This window comes from Homo sapiens, chromosome 14 (assembly GCF_000001405.40).
Source record: "Homo sapiens chromosome 14, GRCh38.p14 Primary Assembly".
Taxonomy (NCBI): Eukaryota; Metazoa; Chordata; class Mammalia; order Primates; family Hominidae; genus Homo; species Homo sapiens.
The window spans coordinates 52,707,039-52,728,658 of record NC_000014.9 but is presented as its reverse complement, the minus strand read 5'-3'; the positions used below and the strand labels follow the sequence as shown (position 1 = coordinate 52,728,658).

General features: G+C 38.1%; 1 protein-coding gene across 5 annotated transcripts, besides 2 other annotated features; it reads right to left on the bottom strand.

Moving 5' to 3' along the window:
• PSMC6 (proteasome 26S subunit, ATPase 6) lies at positions 69-21,459 on the bottom strand. 5 transcript variants are annotated; one of them, NR_158967.2, is made up of 15 exons: positions 21,355-21,459; positions 20,271-20,350; positions 20,137-20,176; positions 19,843-19,895; positions 17,491-17,558; positions 17,135-17,249; positions 14,691-14,778; positions 10,517-10,578; positions 10,307-10,430; positions 9,621-9,682; positions 7,678-7,798; positions 7,469-7,549; positions 4,785-4,854; positions 4,623-4,694; positions 69-1,160 (listed from the first exon to the last, which is right to left on the bottom strand). NR_158967.2 is itself a non-coding variant. In NM_001366414.2 (14 exons), exons 5-14 carry the CDS (start codon positions 17,511-17,513, stop codon positions 1,042-1,044), a joined length of 867 nt encoding a protein of 288 aa, NP_001353343.1. In that variant the 5' UTR covers positions 17,514-19,084; positions 19,843-19,895; positions 20,137-20,176; positions 20,271-20,350; positions 21,355-21,459; the 3' UTR covers positions 69-1,041. The 5 variants fall into 5 exon arrangements, 4 of the variants coding, with proteins under 4 accessions (NP_001353343.1, NP_002797.4, XP_047287562.1 ...); NM_001366414.2 differs by lacking the exon at positions 4,785-4,854 and having other exon boundaries at positions 17,491-19,084; NM_002806.5 differs by lacking the exon at positions 4,785-4,854.
• Positions 21,099-21,148: an enhancer, noted in NCBI's record as "active region_8395". NCBI's record gives its function as "activates an Ori minimal core promoter by ATAC-STARR-seq in GM12878 lymphoblastoid cells {active_cell/tissue: GM12878}" and the evidence as "EXISTENCE:reporter gene assay evidence [ECO:0000049][PMID:35858748]".
• Positions 21,169-21,418: an enhancer, noted in NCBI's record as "active region_8394". NCBI's record gives its function as "activates an Ori minimal core promoter by ATAC-STARR-seq in GM12878 lymphoblastoid cells {active_cell/tissue: GM12878}" and the evidence as "EXISTENCE:reporter gene assay evidence [ECO:0000049][PMID:35858748]".

Sequence of the window (21,620 nt, the reverse complement as noted above, 5' to 3'; positions counted from 1 at the left end):
CTGAAGTTGTCTTTTCTTTTCACCAGCATCTTTAATAATTATTGATGCCCAATGATGATTCCTTTGTGTACTTTGTTATAGCTTTTATTGCCAGATGATATAAGAATCATGTATAGGTAACAGAAATCATGTTTTGAACATTTCTGACACTCCTACATCCCCTACATCATACACTCTTAGCCAGGTATCCATACATACCTAAAGAGTCCTTGGATGAGCTTGGGAAACAATAAATTTCCTGAAATTATAGTATACGCAAAATTGTATGTTAGAATTTTTCCTGGAAGAGGGTCCAGACCTCCACATCCTCAACAGGGACCTATCGTCTTACATAAACCAAGAAAACCCAGTCACATATTAGCAAATATTACGTTGAATCATACTCTTTAAAAAGTTATGGATGTGCATGTATATTTTCAATTAACCAACAATGAGCTTAATCACAGTAGATGAAGAATATGTAAACACTTTCTGAAAGGAGGAGTACAGACATACCCACACATCCATGTTTTATTTAAGAAGATGATCTTATGAACATTAAGTATGTGTACTATTTTAAAATAATATTCAAAAATCCACAATCCATCTGGGTTATCAAATAGTTTACTTGCTAAAGAACCTAAAGGACCACAGTAAATATACTCAGAAAAGACAAGAATATATATGTAGGAGAACTGAATCAAACAGATTTTATTCAACTTTTTAGATGAGGAAAACAAATGATACAAAATAAGTCATAAGAAATGCTTTCTTATACCACTATCTCAAACCACTTTCAATATTTTACAAAATGCTCACGCAGCAAATATGAAAAGCTTCAACACTTTCCCTTTGTAACTTGCTGCAATAAATGCAACTTTAACAAACATACAAATTTCTTCTGTATCTTAAAAGTTGAATTACTAATTTTTATGATGTTACTCATATTTTTATTCATATACTTTTAATGACATCATTACCAATACATACATTATTTTCTTTAACTTTATTTTTACAATAAGCCAACATCTGTCATGCAGCCATCAAAAATCTTACAGTAAATTACACAGGTTTGTAGTCCAATTTAGACTCCAGCTTCTTAGAATCAGCCACTTTTCTGACTGCTTTCATGAAGTCTTCCTGTACTACAAAATCATGATCAGCACGAATTGCGAACATACCTGTAGAGAATAAAACAACATGACTGCTATATATCACATATGAATTATATGTTCATTATAAGAAAAACAATATAATTCTATGGAATAAATGTGAAGCTTAGATTTATTACTTCTGAGCCAGTAGTTGTAATTTGCTAAAAACCACTATCTTTTTTCAATTAAAATCCACAGGCCGGGTGCGGTGGCTCACGCCTGTAATCCCAACACTTTGGGAGGCCAAGATGGGCAGATTGCAATGTCAAGAGATTAAGACCATCCTGGCCAACACGGTGAAACCCCATCTCTACTAAAAATACAAAAAAAAAAAAAAATTAGCTGGGCATGGTGGCGCGCGCCTGTAGTCCCAGCTACTCGGGAGGCTAAGGCAGGAGAATGGCTTGAACCCAGGAGGCGGAGGTTGCAGTGAGCTGAGATAGTGGCACTGCACTCCAGCCTGGCAACAGAGCGAGACCCCATCTCAAAAAAAAAAAAAAAAAAAAATCCATAGCGGTGTTGTGATTATGTTCTAAAACAAAAACAGGTATGACCATTATATGAATATTTAACATCCGGTTCAAGGCTGGGCACGGTGGCTCACACCTGTAATCCCAACACTTTGGGAGGCCAAGGTGGACGGATTACCTGGGGTCGGGAGTTCGAGACCAGCCTAGCCAACATGGTAAAACCCCGTTTCTACTAAAAACACAAAAATTAGCTGGGCGTAGTAGTGGGCATCTGTAACCCCAGCTACTTGGGAGGCTGAGGCAGGAGAATCGCTTGAACCCGGGAGGCAGAGGTTGCAGTGAGCCAAGATCGCACCACTGCACTCCAGTCTGGGTGACAGAGTGAGGCTCTGTCTCAAAAAAATAAAATAAAATAAAATCAGGCTTAAATGGTCCCTGTATCTGATTGTAGCTCTTAATAAAAACAAGCATAAAAAACCGAAGCAATCAAAACTACCAACACATACACATTTTAAGCGTAACTTAACTTGACAGGAAGCAATTTGCTGGAAGGCACACATTTATGGGGGAAAAAAAATCTTGAGTAAGTTTGATAGCCATTCTTTGTTAATAATCAAAAACGTTGAGAATAGGGAATCATATAGAAAGCCAACAGCGGGTTTTAGCAAAACTCGGAGTCATTATTCATGTGTTAAAATTTACCTAATTTATGTACAAATTGGTATTTTTATTTGATTCATATTTGAGTATCACAACTCAATTTTTTCCTTCAACTTTTTGACAAGTACCTTCTCAAACAGTATTTGACAAAGGGGTAAAAGTTTCCTTGTATGCAGTTTTTTAAACATTAGTTGTGTTATGGATATGGGTCCCAGATTTTGAGATAATCCTAACTCATGATAAACTAAAGCAGGTAAGTTTATTGCTATCTACTAATTAAATGAATTCTAAAATTTCCACTGAGGATCTGCCTGTATTGAATTTTCACTTACATAAAATGAGGGAGTTAATATAGAAGATTTCAAGGATTACTTCCTTTCTAGATTTCTACATAAGGAAACAATCTATGTTGTCCTAGAAACCGGGTGAATGGAAATGACTGATTTTTAAAAAATAACAAAGTTTCAAAACTTGTTTAGAAAGCTACAGTGAAACTAGGTAAGTTATTTTTGTAAACCTTGCACACATGGCTATTTTCCAAATCACTTTAGTGAATAAGTAAATCTGCACAAGAGATGCCTGGCCAGGCCTGGTAGCTTGTGCCTGTAATCCCAGCATTTTGGGAGGCCCAGGTGGGTGGATTACTTGGGCCCAGGAATTTGAGACCAGCCTGGACAACATGGTGAAACCCGTCTCTACAAAAAATACAAAAATTAGCTGGGTGTGGTGGCGCACGCCTATAGTCCCAGCTACTGGAAGATAAAGGAGAAATGATCAGGTCTGGGCTACAGGGAGCAGTGATCATGCCACTGCACTCCAGCCTGGGCCAGAGTGAGACTCCGTCTCAAAAGAAAAAATAAAATAGAGATGTATTATAATCCAAAAGAGATAATGTCAGGACCTGAACAGGAAGGGCAACTGTAGTTGAATCAAGTGTATTTTAACTTACGAAAAATGTTAACAAAAAAGCCTTCAAGTCTAAAAAGAAGATAAAAATTTCAGTATGTTTCCAGATGTGAATGTCCCACCTAGTTAAAAAAGAACTACAATTTTAATCCACACAGAAGTTATAGCTCATTTGCAATAACTAAAGGTAAATTTGTAAGAATATGTAAGGAAAAAAAGCGTATATTTTGATAGCAACAGCCTTTAGGTTCACTGCACAGCTTGCATTTGGATTACAATCTAACCAAAGCAATCTTCTGATAATAATTTGGTCTGGTTTACATTTTGGAAAGAGAATGTCATAAATTACTCTAACTTGTTCAAGCTATATGACAGTTTACCTCTAAATAGTTTAGTTTATTGATAACGCTCTGTGAGCATGATTTACCCTAATTTGCATTGACAGCATTTCTAGACGTGAACAGAAGTATCTGACCTGCATATCTGATGCAGATACTGACTCACAGCATACCCAATACCCATGAAGATACCTGTACTGAGAAGCCCTCCCTGAGCAGCCACTTTAAACACTGTGTTGAATTTACTAAGGCTAAACATGATATGAAAAGCAAGAGGAAATCACATATTCTAATACTTAAGAAAATCTATAACCTATAAAGTCAGTAACTATACTGTAGAAGTTTATTTTTTCTATTTAAAGATTCTGTATGGAAGACAAAAACTAAATGATTCTAGGTAGGGTATTAAAGCTACTTGGTACTGGAAATAAAAATAGCATCACACAATTTTTACATACCATGTAGAAGTGAAAAAAATAGTATCACACAATCCACAGAGAATTATATTTAAATACTACATTTTACACAAATGGCATGATCACATAATTCATAAATCAATCTTTCAAAACACTGCTCACAGACTAGTATTAGACAACATACACAATTCATTTTGCAGCAGATACCTCTGGTGCTGGCCCATTCTAATTCCAGCCACAGGTGTGGTAGGCAATTCTGTAGCACCTCAGACTTACTTTAGGGGGCCAGTGTTCTATTACATGCCTCTCCTTCCACATTCTGCCCTAAGGCAGGTAGAAGTGCAAAGGAGTCAACACTACCAAGGACAAATCTCATCCAATGGGGGATGAGTACTGGTAAATCAATGTTCTAGTCTCCCAACTTTCAGCTGGGTGATCCTGGAAGGCATTCTGTATGCTTCTCTGAGATCTAACCTCCCTTTCCTACAGCACCTACCTCAATGGTGCACCCTCATATTAGCTTTCCCTCTTTCCATCTCACTTGCCCTGCTTCTCCTATTTCCTGGAATCGATTCCTAAAAGAACAGCATGAACCCAAATCCTTGCAAAGTCTATGCTCCGCTTTCAGATAAACTCAAAACAGTTTCAGCAAATTTTAAAAATCAAAATCAATAGTAAAACTGTACTTTAAACCCTTACCTGCTTCAGTACAAACATTTCTCAGATCTGCTCCATTAAAGCCATCCGAAAGCTTCACAATTGCTTCATAATCTGTTTAGAAAAAATACTGGAAATTAGTTTTAAAAATTAGACCTTTACTTGATTTATGCCCACATCGAAAATTTAAACTGAAGAGCTTACTTTGAGTTTGATCAGCTAGACATCAGCTCTGTTAACTTTCCACAATATTAATATCCAAAAACTAAGACTTCTGTTAAATAAACCAGCACCAAGAAGAATTAGACACACCCCTGAAACTTTAAAAACAGGAAATATCACCAAAATCTCAAAATATCTTAATCTATTTTTATACAGTGAAATAGCTATGCACATGTGAACTCCAGATACCTGTTAAGCTGTGACTCTTATCAAAACTGTAATCAAATCTTGGATTTGAATAAACCTATAACACTCAAAACCAATTATAACAATGGAATTTACTTTGTTTACTTTAATCATACAAGCCAAATATAAAGTATAGCAAAACTGAAATGTAATCATACATAATTGTATCACATGGAATTTTTAAATGCTACAGCATGCATTAGCTAGCTTCTCTGGTTTCTGTGCAAGATTCAAGTGGTGAAGTATCAGATCTATGGTAGCAGTAATAAAGTGAGTTCTCCATCCACCCACATAACAGACATGAATCAAAGAGCTATAGGATTGGGGTAGCAACAATGGATCTGATACAGAATAGGAAGAGAAGTAAGACAGCACAGGCTACTACAGTTTGAATAACTTTGATGATGCACCGTTTGGTCAGGCAATATAGGGCATGTCGTTCTCTATTTGAAATCACACATATATTCATGAATTGTCTTTAATCAGGTTTAAGTTCATTGTAAGCTTCCTGAGAGCAAGAATTCCCAAGGCTAGCACAGTATCTGGCATCTAGCAAGAGCTCAGTATTTGTGGAAGAAACCTATACATTGACATCCTTTGTTCAGTTCGGTCTTTCCAGCTCAAAACTCTCTAACAGGGGCAATGAAGATAGTGAAATTCAACAATCAGCTATTTGTCATTATTCTGGACCATTAACTTCTAAAGAGTTTTTAAGGCTGCCTGGAAATTATACTAGATTTCCCTAGTCTGGAGGTCAGCAAACTTTTTATGTAAAGGGCCAGAGAGTAAATACTGTATGCTTTGCAAGCCATATGGTTTCTGTTGTAACTATTCAACTCAGCTATTCCAGTAGGAAAGCAGCCATAGACAACAGATAAATGAGCATGCTTGGGTTACAACAAAACTTTGTGTGTTTCCAAAAACACAGGGCAGGCAGAATTTGGTTCACAAGCCATGTTTTACTGGCCTGCACCCTAGTCCAATCCCTCACTTCCATAGATAATGACTTTATACCTTCTCCTTTGTCCTCAAATCTCTAAGAACACTTCCCTATCTTCATTCTGAACGTGCATTCTACTTCACTGAGAAAACAGAAGCATTCAGAAAAAAACACTTCCACAAGTTCCTGCACTATCTAAGAACCTGTCATCATAAGCATCTATGTACTCTGCCTTTCCTCCAGTCTCATAAAAGTACACATATATATAGGGCCAATCCCTCTTCAAGGAAAGAACATTGCCAATTTCTCTTTCTCCTAGGTCATTCCCAGTAGCATTATTAAAAAAAAAAAAAAAAGGGCAGGGGGGTCATAAACTCTTCCATCTTATAGAAAACTCTGCCAACTCCTCATCGGCATTCCCCTTCTACTTCTTCTGCCCCCTCTGTAGAACTCTTAAAAGAAATGTCTAAACTCAATGCCTCTCCTCCCAATCTCTCTGAAACCCATCTGAAATAGGCTTTCACCTCCACCACTCCCAAGAAGCTACTTTTGACAAGATTACCAATGACCTCCATATAGTTAAATCCAAAGGTCTACTCTGAGAACTCTTTATCTGACCTATTGTCAGCATTTAACAGGAATCAATTTAAAAAACAAACAAACAAACAACCAGGCCGGGTGCAGTGGCACACGCCTGTTATCCCAGAACTTTGGGTGGCCGAGGTGGGCAGATTGCTTGAGCCCAGTAGTTCAAGATCAGCCTGGGCAACATGGTGAAACCCCATCCCTACAAAAAAACAAGCCAGGGTTGGTGGTGTGTGCCTGTAGTCCCAGCTAATCAGGAGGCTGAGGTGTGAGGATCATTTGAACTTGGGAGGCAGAAGTTGCAGTGAGCTGGGATCACACCATTGCACTCCAGCCTGGGCAAGAGTGAGACCCTGTCTCTAAAAAATAAATTACCTTCTTGGTAAGGCCTTCCCTGTGCTAATCCTCCCTGTCATTTAAAAACATATCCTCATGCCTGGTCCTGGCACTTCCCTAATTTCCTATCCCCCTTTTCTTTTTTTTTCCCCTGAAACAGCGTCTTGCCAAACTGGAGTGCAGTCACATGATCATAGCTCCCTGCAACCTCAAACTCCTGGCCTCAAGCGGTCCTTCTGCCTCGGCCTCCAAAACCATTAGGATTACAGGAGTGAGCCACCATGCCCGCCCCCCACTTTCTTGCTTTATTTTTCTCCATAGCACTTATCATCATCTATTATACTTTGTTTTACTAACTTTATCTGTTTTTTCCTAACAAGAATATAAGTTCTCTAATGGCAGAAATTTGTCTGTTTTGTTCCTTGCTATATTGTCAGCCCTTACAAAACACTTACAATGGTTCCTAGCTTATAGTAGATGCTCAATAACTATTTGCTGAATTTAAAACCACCACATTTGCTGAATTTAAAACCAGATTTAGGAAACTATCAGTAATTTCTAAAAGTATTTTTCTTCATTTACCAAATGTAAATACATATAAAATAGATGACTTCCTTACCTATTTCACCATGCTTTGTAATGGGACCTGCATGGATTTTCAGTATGTCTAATCTTGCTTGTTCATTTGGCAAATCAATATCTGAAAATAAAAAATTATTTTATAGTCCAGTTTTATCTTTTTTAAAATACAGTGGAAGGTGAAGTGAAGTATGGAAAAAGAAATGGGCACAAAGGGAAATGGACAGTAGGTAAAGAATCTTAACTCACGTATTTTTCTATCTAATCTTCCTGGACGCAGCAAAGCAGGATCCAGTGTATCTGGTCTGTTTGTAGCCATGATCATTTTAACTCTATGCAGAGTATCAAATCCATCCATTTGATTCAGTAACTAAGAATATTAAGAATCAGATTTTACAAAAATTCTAACCATTAAAAAAAATAGCACACACCTTTTATATGTCTAATGCCATGAAATGTATTGTCTACAGATAGATATGTTCTATCTTCAGAATGGTCATTTGATAGAATTCTTTTTCTCTCTCTTATATAAAGGGATATACTTTCTAGCCTCAAAGTTCTAAGCTAGATTATGTACCTTTTAATAGCTATGTATCTTTCTATAGCTACCAGGTAGTTTTAATAAATCTGAAGGCTTCCATCATGTCAAGAATTATGAAATTAAACTATGTGGATCTAATTTCCAATGTCCAAAATTTCATCAATTATTTTTTAAAGGAAAAGCTAATAATAAAATCCAATATATAAAGTGCTTATGATATGTCAGACATAACATTTATATTAGGATAAATGGATACAAAGATTTTTCTACAAATTTGATAATAAACTGATAATTTTTTTTTTTTTTTTTTTTTTTTTTTTTTGAGACAGAGTTTCACTCTGTCACCCAGGCTGGAGTACTGTGGCCTGATCATCGCTCACTGCAACCTTCACCTCCTGGGCTCGACCAGTCCTCCCACCTCAACCTCCTGAGTAGCTGGGACTGCTTTTTTTTTTTTTTTTTTTTTTGGAGACAGACTCTCGCTCTGTCACCCAGGCTGGAGTGCAATGGGGCGATCTCAGCCCACTGCAACCTCACCTCCTGGGTTCAAGCAATTCTCCTGCCTCAGCCTCCTGAGTAACTGGGATTACAGGCACACGCCACCACGCCCAGCTAATTTTTGTATCTTTACTAGAGATGGTGTTTCGCTACGTTGGTCAGGCTGGTCTCAATGCTCAGACCTCATGATCTGCCCAGCTGGGCCTCCCAAAGTGCTGGGATTACAGGCAGAAGCCACCATGCCTGGCCTATTTTTTCAAATAATTCTACTGTACACAGAAATACTAAAAGACATAAAAAATATTGTCCTCAATTTCTAAAGTTTTCTTGAATAAATGAAAAACCTTACTGCATTTAACAAACTCTCTAAAATATAGCTAGTCTGACAATGTGTTAGTTGATGATATATTAGTTACTTGAATAAAATGAGTATTTGTGTTATTTAAAAATATCTCAATTTAAGGTTTCTAAGAGATTTTATAATTTCCAAATGCTATGTTATCTTCTGAGCGGATCTGTATAATTTATGAAAAAAGATTTTTCAAATACTTCTAAGGAGAAAGAATTTGACACTGCATTACCCATGCTACCTAGTTTCTATTTGAAGTGGAAAATGTATTTGGACTCTTGATATCACTTTCACAGAATTTGGAGTGGGGAAAGGTAAAACTGGAGGAAGGCTTTATGTGCATTCTTTCATTCTGTCATCTATCCTCTTCAATTATCAAAACTATTTTAGTTGCCTCAGTCTCAGCAATAAAGTGAGAGAAAAAAATAATTTTTAGAGCAGCTTCATACATAATTATAGCTCATTTATTGCCAACAGTCTTAATATGACCATTACAAAAAATGTCTTCATAAAACTACCGCAAGATCACATTCATAAGAATTTAAATATATGAATGACTGATCTACTCAAAAAAACACAGAATAGTACAGGTGTATACCAAATGGAATTTGGCAGATAGCCTTATTTTCCAGTAGTCATTTTCTTAGAGTTTGTGATAGAGAAACATGTTTGTTCCTGACAATATTTTCAAATTTCATATTTCATTTAAAATGTTCTATATATTTTGACTATCAAATATGCAATGTTCAGTTCTTCATTTAATAAACATTGGTTTCTTTATAAACCCCCTTTACCAAATATTACCTCCATTAACGTTCTCTGAATCTCTCTGTCAGCTGAAGTACCCTCAGAAAACCGACGACCACCTAAGATAGTAGATTTGGAAATTTATATGCATTACTCTTTTCCTCTACAACCATCATTTAAGAAAACAGAACATAACAGTCTGTGGCTTAAAACATTAAGATGAAAATTAAAGAGCAAGAATTATGCTGACAAAGTTAGACTTGATTTTGGTGTAACATTTCTCATTTTGTTAAAGTGAAAGGTTATTTATTGAGACGGAGTCTCGCTCTGTCGCCAGGCTGGAGTGCAGTGGTGTGATCTCGGCTCACTGCAACCTACGTCTCCTGGGTTCAAGCGATTCTCGTGCCTCAGCCTCCTCAGTAGCTGGGATTACAGGCATGTGCCACCACATCCAGCTAATTTTTGTATTTTTAGTAGAGACAGGGTTTCACCATGTTGGCCAGATGGTCTCGATCTCCTGACCTGGTGATCTGCCCACCTTGGCCTCTCAAAGTGCTGGGATTACAGGCATGAGCCACCACACCCGGCCATGAAAGGTTATTTATTAAAATTGGTTAAACTAACATCTGATTCATTGTGGTATCTACTTCATACAAGTCACAATTACAGATTAAGAGAGGGAAAAAGGTTCTTTTACATTTAAAAAAAAGTCCTAAAACTTTCAACAAGGGTGTTATTCTTACCAATAGCATCTATTTCATCCATAAAAATGATGCATGGTTGATGATCTCTAGCATAATTAAACATTTCTCTGATCAAACGAGCACTTTCACCAATGTACTTGTCTACAATAGAACTAGATACAACCTGATTAAAGGAAAAACAGTAAGGTAAATATAAGATAATTCAAGTAAAATTAAATTTCAATAAGTACAAAATAATCTTCCCTTTACCTTTAAGAAATTGCAGTCCAGCTGGCTAGCAACGGCTCGTGCCAAGAGTGTTTTTCCCGTACCTAAGAATGACAAAAGAAGTCTTAATTAGATGGTAAGGTAGAAAAAAATTTGTTTTGAGACAGGCAATCACTCTGTCACCTAGGCTGGAGTGTGGCGAGATCACAGCTCACTGCAACCTTGACCTCCCAGACCTAAGCGATTTTCCCACCTCAGCCTCCCAAGTAGCTGGGATGACAGGCATGTGCCATCACGCACAGCTAAGTTTTTTGTTTGTCTGTTTGTTTTTCAGAGACGGGGTCTCTCTGTGTTGCGCAGGCTGGTCTTGAACTCTTGGGCTCAGGTGATCCTGCCACTTCAGCCTCCCAAAGTGCTGGGATTACAGGCAGGAGCCACCGCACCCGGCCTATGTGAAACAAATTTTTAAAATCCTTTTAAGAATATAATCGTTTGGCAAGTAAATTTTCCAAAATGAAAGCTAAATCCTAAATAGAATTTTCATTTAAAATTCCAAAGTACTTGGCCAGGTGTGGTGGCTCACACCTGTAATCCCAGCACTTTGGGAGGCTGAGGCGGGCAGATCACAGGGTCAGGAGATCGAAACACAGTGAAACCCCGTCTCTACTAAAAATACAAAAAATTAGCTGAGCGTGGTGGCACATGCCTGTAGTCCCACCTACTGGGGAGGCTGAGGCAGGAGAATCGCTTGAATCCGGGAGGTGGGGGTTGCAGTGAGCTTATAATCTCGCCACTGCACTCCAGCCTGGGTGACAGAGCAAGACTCTGTCTCAAAAAAAAAAAAAAAAAAAAAATTCCAAAGTACTTCTGCTGTCAACATTAAAATTTTAATCAAAATGTTATAATTTTTAAAATCTATTTTAAATTGACAAATAAATTGTATATTTATGGGTTAAATTATGATACATGTATATATTGAAGAATGATTAAATCAGGCAAATCAACATATCCATCACCTCACATGCTTAGCATTACTTTGTGGTTAGAACATTTAAAATCTACTTTTAGCAATTTTGAAATAGCTAATACATTATTAATTATAGTCACCATGCTATGCAATATGTCACCTAGAACTTATTCCTCCTGTCTAAGTGAACTTTATATCCTTTGACCAACATCTCCCCTATCCCCATACACCACCACAACTTCTGGTAACCACCATTCTACTCTTGGTTTCTACGAGTTCAATTTTTTAAGATTCCACATGAAAATGAGATTATGTGGTAACTGTCTTTCTGTGTCTGGCTTATTTCACTTAGTATAACATCCTCTAGATTCATCCATATTGTCACAAATGACAGAGTTTCCTTTTTTAAGGCTGAATAGTATTCCAATGTGTGTATTTACCACATTTCTTTTTCTTTTTTTTTTGAGATGGAGTTTCACTCTTGTTGCCCAGGCTGGAGTGCAATGGCATGATCTCAGCTCACTGCAACCTCTGCCTCCCAGGTTCAAGTGATTCTCCTGCCTCTGCCTCCCGAGTAGCTGGGATTACAGGCATGAACTACTACACCCAGCTAATTTTGTATTTTCAGCAGAGACGGGGTTTCTCCATGTTGGTCAGGCTGGTCTCGAACTCCCGACCTCAGGTGATCCGCCCGCCTCGGCCTCCCAAAGTGTTGGCACTACAGGTATGAGCCACTGCACCCGGCTACCACATTTTCTTTATCCATTCATCCATTGATGGGCAATTTTTAGGCTGTTTCTATATCTTGGCTATTGTGAAATAATCATGGGAGTGCAGCTATCTCTGACACACTGATTTCAATTCCTTTAGATATAAACCCAGAAGTGGGATTGCTGAATCATATGGTAATTCTATTTTTAGTTTTTTGAGGAACCTCCATGTTTTCAAAAATGGCTGTGCTAATTTACATTCCCACCAGTAGTGTACAAGGGTTCTTTCTCTTTTCTCTACATCTTGCAAACACTTTTGTCTTTTTTATAATAGCTATCTACTTACAACATGGACTATGACAGAAACTTCTGTTACATTAAAATACATTGGTCTATCCTGTGCACTGACTGGATCTTTTACTTATGAATATTTTAATATCAAGCATTGATTATTTGGAAACTACTGGTTGAGTTATGCAAATCTTCCAAATGTTGACATTTTCCACCACACATTATAAAAAATTTTTGTTATTCTCACCACTTATCTCATCAGAAAAGTCTTTAAGTATTAATATATTAGAAAGCTGCCGTGGCTGGACATTGTGGCTCATGCCTGTAATCCCAGCACTTTGGGAGGCTGAGGTGGGCGGGTTGCTTGAGCCCAGGAATTCAAGACCAGCCTGGGCAACATGGCAAAACCCTGCCTCTACTAAAAACACAAAAATTAGCCTGGCATGGTGGCACACACCTGTAGTACCAGCTACTCAGGAGGCTGAGGTGGAAGAATCACCTGAGCCCAAGAGGCAGAAGTTGCAGCGAGCCAGGATGATCACGCCACTGCACTCCAGCCTGGGTAACAGAGTAACACCTTATCAAAAAAAAAAAAAAGAAAAGAAAAGAAAAAAAGAAAAAGCTTCAACCACATAGTGCCAGATATATGTTTCTAAAAATTCTAATTTTCACTTGACATTTCATATTTTATCAATGGCAATAGATGGTGTCAGTTGTTTAACATGACAGGCTTAATTTGTTCGCTTTGGAAAAAATGTGCGCCAAATAACCAAAAACCAGTCTTGAGTAATCAATAACTAATAACCAATAACCAGTCTGATAATCACAGCATATCTGTAAATGGTCCATTCAAGCAAAAATAGTATTCCATAAAAAGCAATGAATTCAGCTGGCAACTTAAATAACTGCACAAGTGCTTTTCCTAAAGACAACTATCTTATTCAATATGCAGCAGTACTTTATATTTATTTTCCCTTTTATCATGAAGAACACAAAATATTACCCAAAGATGAAGATTTAACAAAATTAATAATTTTTACTGTTTCACCAAGGACTTTATAGTGAAACTGACTTTTTTTTTTTTTACACTGCAAGTATGTGGCAGTCAAGAACGCAATGGCTACTAACTAGCACCGTTTCATGCCACTAATGCTGATTCACACTACAGTGCAAGTAATTTAATTTTACCCATGGTGCTCTTGCACCATCAGCACAAATGTCAACACAGTGGAAGAGCCAAACAACATTTTAGTTTTTTGTTTTGTGTCATTGTGGGGCTACATATGTCAAGCAGTATGCTATAGGTACATTTGCTTTATATAAAAAAATTTTTTTTTTTTTTTTTTTTTTTGAGAAGGAGTCTCACTCTGTCAGCCAGGCTGGAGTGCAGTGGGGCAATCTCGGCTCACTGCAACCTCTGCCTCCCAGGTTCAAGCAATTCTCCTGCCTCAGCTTCCCGAGTAGCTGGGATTACAGGTGCACGCCACCACGCCTGGCTCATTTTTGTATTTTTAGTAGAGACAGGGTTTCATCATGTTGGTTGGCCAGGCTGCTCTCAAACTCCTGACCTCTGGTGATCTGCCTGCCTCGGCCTCCCGAAGTGCTGGGATTACAGGTGTGAGCCACTGCGCCTGGCTTAACATTTCAGTATTATAAAGTAGTTTTGACCTTACAGAGTCCATGAAAGCACCTCTGGGTCTGTGAACCACAATTTGAGGACTGTTGCACTAGAATCACATGGCCTGTTAAGATAAATGTACTGTGAGGCACAAATGCACTAAGCATGCCTCAAAGAACAGTAGACATAAATATCCTATCTCATTCTCACTCTGAAGAGAGGAGAAGTTGGAACTGCCCACATCAAATTTCCACCTTATGGCCAGGCGCAGTGGTTTATGCTTGTAATCCCAACATTTTGGGAGGCTAAGGTGGGCAGATCGCTTGAGTCCAGGAGTTTGAGATAGCCTGAGCAATATGGCAAAATTGCTTCTCTACAAAACATACAAAAATTAACCAGACATGGTGATGCACGCCTGCAGTCCCAGCTACGTGGGAGACTGAGGTGGGAGAATCACTTGAGCCCGGAAGGCAGAGGTTGCAGTTAGCCCAGATTGTGCCACTGCACTACAGCCTGGGCAACAGAGTGAGACCGTGTCTCAAAAAAATAAAAATAAAAAAATTGTCTTTTTTTTTTTAATTCCTTAATTCATTTATCTTATTGGTGGAGTAGAAATAATTCAATACCAACCTGGTGGTCCATATAACAAACAGCCTTTTGGAGGTATTATTCCTACACGCTGAAATAACTCTGGGTTTGTAAGAGGTAATTCTATCACCTAGAAAAGAAGTTAAATCTTTCTTAAAAAGTTAGTCAAGATTTTTAATGTACTTTCAAATACTCTAAGTCAAATATCACCTTAGTTAGGTGTACACATCATAATTCTTAATAGACCTAGACTTCCATGCTAGGTAAAACCATTTATATTAAGAGGTTTTGCTCCAGGTAGATTTAAGATCTCTTAAATCTAAAAAATTTCAAATAATGTTTTTTAAATAAACCACACACTTGATTGGGGTGATGGTTACACAGATATATAACTTGTCCAAACATATTTGAAATGTACACTTAAGAATCTACATTTTTTTAATGTAATTATACCTCAATGAAAAATTATACCACAAAAAAATCAGTTAAGTCAAATGAACATATAAACAAAAAACACAACTCAAAAGATCTATACTAGTTTGCATTTGAAAATACAACACAAAATAATTCTAAAATGGGGGATGGATTTGACAACATACCAAGAGAAAAGGTATATACAATTTTTATCTGTTGGCATTTTGCCACGGCAGCTTTTAAAGAACAGTATGTTCTGCTCTCAAGACTGATTCAAGGAAGAAAAGTAGAGACTAGAGAAATTGAAGATCTGAAAGTCCAATTTAAATTACTTATAGTACCAGTAACTTAAGAGAGAAATTTCTTTTTTTTTGAGACAGAGTCTGTTGCCCAGGCTGGAGTGCAATGGCATGATCTTGGCTCATTGCAACCTCTGCCTCCCGGGTACAAGAGATTCTCCTGTCTCAGCCTCCTGAGTAGCTGGGACTACAGGCGCCACCACCACACCTGGCTAATTTTTGTACTTTTAGAAGAGATGGGGTTTCACTGTATTGGCAGGCTGGTCTTGAACTCCTGACCTCAGATGATCCACCCACCTCAGCCTCCCAGAGTGCTGGGATTACAGGCGTGAGCCACCATGCCTGACCGAGAGAGAAATTTCTATTGAATAGTTGTGTTGGGCTAGGTGCGGTGGCTCACGCCTGTAAATCCCAACACTTTGGGAGGCCAAGGCTGGAGGATGGCTTGAGTTCAGGAGTTCGAGAAGAGCCTGGACAACATGGTGAAACCCCATCTCTACAAAAAATAAAAAAATTAGTCACATGTGGTGGCGCATGCCTTCAGCTACTTGGGAGGGTGAGGTGAGAGGATGACTTCAGCCTGGGAGGTAGAGGTTGCAGTGAGCTGAGACTGCACCACTGCATTCCAGCCTGGGCAAAAGAACCAGACCCTGTCTCAAAAGAAAAAAAAAAGTTGTGTCCATATGTGCATAAAGCGTGACTGGGAAAAGCCAGAAGTGAGAGAAATCAATACTCTAAAGTGTAAAGTATCTGCAGACAGTAAAGGATACTGCATGTATACATGGGATTCTTTCTGCTCCTATGGCTAATGCAGCAAATCACTGTTGAAAGCAAGTTTTCACCGTTTTATGAAGCACCTGTTCTTCCTCTGTTGCCCTTTCATTAATACAGGTGAGAACTGCCTTTTTTTTTTACACTTAGACCAGTGCTTCCTCAAGTATTGTCAAAGAAAAATTTGGTTTCATAATCACTTGGAATGCTTGTTTAAATGCTAATTCCTGTGCCTACCCCCAATCTAGTCCATCAAAACCACTCAGAGGGCCTAGTAATGTGTATTTTTAATAAGTGTTCCAAAAAAAATTAATGTACTGAAGTATGAGAACTGGCTTAAAGCTTAAATCAGATTGTGTAAGACATTCCAATTATTCCCATTAATTCCTAAATATTCACAGCCTAATTTAGGATAAAATCCATAGGACAATGTAATTTGCTTTACAGATAACAGTTAAGAAGCTGTCTGTGCTATGAAGTAAGGCAATCCTGATTTGACTGTTCACCTAAAAGCTTACAAGATTTAAGACAATCCTAAAGCCAGTGGTTTTCTGGAATGGCAGCAAACAGCTTTAACAAAATAAAATATTTAAGGAACAGGTACCCTACTCTTCTGTAAGAGTGGGAAGCTAGTATTAATGAGGTTATGGAAAAAACTCATCACACACATTATCCAAATATGCTCTGACCCAAGTAACTTATTATGATAATCAAAACCACAGGATATCAGATTACATCAATTATTTTTAGCTTTTTCTCCGTTCCTTTGCCACAAAAAGAGCAGGATTTTTCTAACACCAAATTATCTCCAAATAAAAAAAAACAGTAATTTTCACAGCTAGAAATTCAGTGCTATTCTTCTTAGCAAGAATAGTAAATACATAATATTCTTAACTACCATTTAGACAAAAAGTACTTTTTCATCCTGTTTCTCCTGTTAAGAATCCTAAAACTAGTAGTATTTATTAGCTAAGTTCAGAGAACAAGGCACACAGTACCAACCTCTCTTAATTCCCGGATCTGTTCTGATAGCCCTCCAATCTCAGAATAAGAAACATTCCCAGGGTCCTCATGAGACATGTTATAAACCAGTGGATCCACCTCTCTCGGCAAATATCTAGAATGAAAAGGTATGTATTTTTCTTTTGAAAGATATATTTTCTCTTAGCCTACAGATAGCATATAAATAACTTGCTCAAGCAAGCACCTGTAGCTGATCTCATAAAGATGTGCTTAATTAGAAACTAGTAAAAGGGAAAAAGTGCCAAAATATTCAGTGATCTCAAGAAGCATATATCTCAGATAAAAACCACCCTTTGTGAAAATAAAAGGTGAACTAAATAGAATAAGAAACCCACCTCATGATAGTTAGTGTAGTCATATCCAAAGCAACTCTTGTTCCTGGCTTCAGCTTACTTTTGTCAAGCTAGTTTTGTAAAACAAAAGATATTACATCAACACTTAAAAACGGAATAACACTCTAACGAGAGTTTAATATTTAGAAGCCAAACACTCATTTTTACCCTCCAGAGAGAACACAAATATCAGATTATAAACTCTATGCTAACAAAATGGCTTATAAAATAAGTAATTCAAAGTGATTTCCACCTGCTCCTTAAAAGCATGCCCCTTTGTGTAATCTCAGTGTAAAATGTGAAATGACTAACACACAAAGCTTGAGGCAGCAATGGTACAGTGACTTTGGGAATTGCTACCAAAGCATTTATAGAAAAATCCCTTAGTGAACATTTTAGGGAAAGGAAAGGGAAGCATTTTAAAGGTGTGCTCATCAGATTTATTTTGAAATGTACAGCTTCTGGGAAGAATGTGTTAAATGCTCATGAGAGTAGAGAAAAATGCACGGTTTCCCCTTAGAGATTTTTATTAAAATGCTTTAAATTTAAAGCCCCAAAACCCAGCAACCATCACTCATGCCTTTGCTACATGACAGGCACATGCTGAACACATTACACATTAGGTTGAATCATACTAAATAATTTCTTGGCTTATCTGGCTAAAATTAGAATCTACTAGATCTGCCTCACTCTCAGGATGTTGTTACTTTTCAAAGATAAAGTTACTTTTTTTTTTGAGATGGAGTACGGAGTCTCACTCTGTCGCCCAGGCTGGAGTGCAGTGGCGCCATCTTGGCTCACAGCAACCTCTGCCTCCCTGGTTTAGGCAATTCTCCTGCCTCAGCCTCAAGTAGCTGGGATTACAGGTGTGTGCCACCATGCCCGGCTAATTTTTTTTTGTATTTTTTAGTAAAGACGGGGTTTCACCATGTTGGTCAGGCTGGTCTTGATCTCCTGACCTCGTGATCTGCCCACCTCAGCCTCCCAAAGTGCTGGGATTACAGGCATGAGCCACCCCGCCCGACCCAAGTTACTTTTTAATAGTTTAAAAAACTGCGTGCCAATACAATTTCGGAATCATATAAATTACTGACCACTTGTCACAGGATTTTACAAAGAGCTTCAAATTTAGGAAGATAGGCAAAACACTAGGATTAATATAACAATTAAGGAAAAAACGGCTAAGAAGTGAGGTTACTTGAAAAAATAAGAGGAGAAATCAATATGAAGCTATTTCAATGTTTACATCTATAGGAAATACAGGCTGAGTATTCTTAATCTGAAAATCCAAAATGCTCCACAATGTGAAATTTTTTGAATGCTGACATGATGCTCAAAGAAAATGCTCATCGGAGCATTTCAAACTTTTGATTTTTTTTAATTAGGGATGCTCAACCAGTACAACACAAATATTCTAAAACCTGAAAAAAAAAAAGCCAAAATCTAAAACACATTTCTGGCTCAAGCATTTTGGATAAGGGATACTCAACTTATATATACTTCGGCTTTTCTAATGTTTTTTAGTCTTCAAATACAGTCTTGTCCTCATGCAACCTGAAATATCTTAGAAATGCCAACTTTCGGCATCCACAGAGCCCTGAAAGGGACATGAAAATCCCTTGTCAGTTTAGGTATCTAATATTTTGACTTAGAAAATGTCAACCGCTTATATACTAGGCAAAATCCTAATAGGAGATTTATAGTTCCTGGATTAAATTCTCCCTTACAGCCATGTTCTGTGAATGTTTTAAAACCTGAACCTGAAATGACAATTAAACAGAGAAAACTCTTCCAATGAATTTAAAAGAATTATCTAAGGACACTTCCTAAAGAATAATACATAAATTGATTTCAGACACTACTGAATGACTTGAGGTCATTTGTTGGCATCTTTGATAACTGTAAAATAAAATTTAGAATTATTTCAACTTGCCCTACCCTAATCTAAATGACCTCATACAAAATTAACTTAGGCCATGGTACAGTCCATAAGTAACAGTTCTGAATGTCTAAATATAAACACAGGTAACTGATGATATCTAACACTTTTAAGTCCTCTTTAAAAATGACATTAAAATAAAATGTCTGTTTTCCAGTTCTAAAATACTTTTATTTCTAAGTGGCTATTAACAGATCTGACTGAGACAATGTAATACAGTAGAAAGTACGGAATGCCAGGAGTCAAAGCCCATGGTTTGAATTCAGGCTTTGTTAATAACTAGCTATGTCTGAACAAATCATCCTTGTGAGTTATGGGCATAAATGCTCCACCTGCTTGCCTCAAGAATTAGAGACAATAACTTACATGAAACTGCTTTGTCAATCATCAGGCACTATACAAATATAAAGTATTACCTGTCGACGACAACCCACAACATATCTTGGTCCATTGGTAGCTTTAACAATGACTAGAAGAAAAAACATAAAAGAACTAATTGAAAAATAGAAAGTAAAAAAATACATACCCACGTTGACAGAGGGTTTAGTTGTATTTCTGTCCTCCAAGGAGACATTAGTTGAAGGAAAACTTAAGTCTATTCAAAAATACTCTCTCTCTCTGCATTATTGTCATTAAAATAATAAGCATTTCAAAAGTGAGAGAGAGGTGGACTGTTTCTTTACTAATTAATAAGCTAATTCATCACTCACATTTTTCTTCAGTTAACTGTTTAAGCACTTCACCCACGATCTAAGGAAGAAAATAAAAAGCATTACTTTTTGGCAACAGCTAAATAAAAAAGCAAATTACCATCACCCCCTATTCCCCAAACTCCATCACCTACCTGCCCAACACTCTGTAGGGCCTTCAGATCATTTTCAGACTTTTCATACTGCTTGGTAAGTTCTTTTAATTGTTCCCTTACTGAAATAATACAATTTGAACATTTTTAATTGAACAGTAATCTTAGTGTGTTTAAGTCGCTACGTCTCACTTTACTGTTTACGTAAGTCTACTTCACTTTACCTAAGTTTCACATCCACTGTTTCAAACCATAAAAGAAATAATGCTGTTTGTAATGAGTAGGTGGCATGTATAACAACAAAATGTTACAGAGAAAGCACCATACTTTTACTTTGTTGATCGGCAATACTTGTTTAAGCACATCTTAAGTTATAGTCTTAGAAGATATTGACACCCTGACACTTAGGATTTGCGACTACAAATCCGAATGATAATCACTTAGACCCTTCCTCACCTCTTCACCTACCCACGTGGATTGTTCTCTGACATTCTACCCTAAATAAAGTCAACAAATGCAGTTCTCCACAGAATCATGTAATTATGGTCCTCCATTTAATTAAACTACTCATGCTTTTCAATGAAAATGCACTGGAAAAAAAAGTTAAGCACTCAGGAGGTAAGGGAAATTTGTATGCCTGATACAGTACAACACGAAACACAAGACGATATGGGTTATTATGACAACTGGAACACTTCTCTCTTAAGCTCCGCGGCCGTCTTTCGACTCCAAGAACAAGCCGACTCCCTGAGTCTCATCTCTTGTTTGAGCTTACTTGACTCAAGCGCCTTCCCCTCTCCAAGTCCCGGGACTCCACCAAGACTGCCCTTCTTGCACCCTAACCTGGGAAACATCCTCGGCCCACTTCCCCACTCCTCCTCTACTTCTTTTTCATTTTCACCTCAAGGCCGCCGATGTTCTGTCACCCGGGCTGGACTGGGCCATTTCTACACCCGAAGGAGTGCTGCTCCACAAGCTCAGGGCCGGATGACAAAGCGCCTTGTCCCTGGCCCTAGGCCTGGTCATCTCTAAGGCTCGGTTGCCGGGCTCGGCGAAAGGCTTCTGCTTTGTCAGAGGCAGAAGCGAGTCGAGGCACTTGATTAAATGGAAAGAAAGGTGCACTCACACTCCTTAAGACGGCCGTCGATCTCCTTGTGTTCAAGCAACTTCTTGCGGTAGTCCTGAAGCGCCTTATCTCTAGGGTCCGCCATGATGAGAAGCCGTCTCTCATAGGGGATGCCGGGAATGGCCATGGCCGTCCGGGCGGGGGAAGGGGCGGGGCGAGGGGCGAAACCCTGCCTGGAGGGGTGGGTTCGCCCATGAGCCCTCCCCTTCCGGTTGGCCCCGTCTTTCTACTCCACTTCCACCTCTATGTCTCGGTTCACCTAGAGC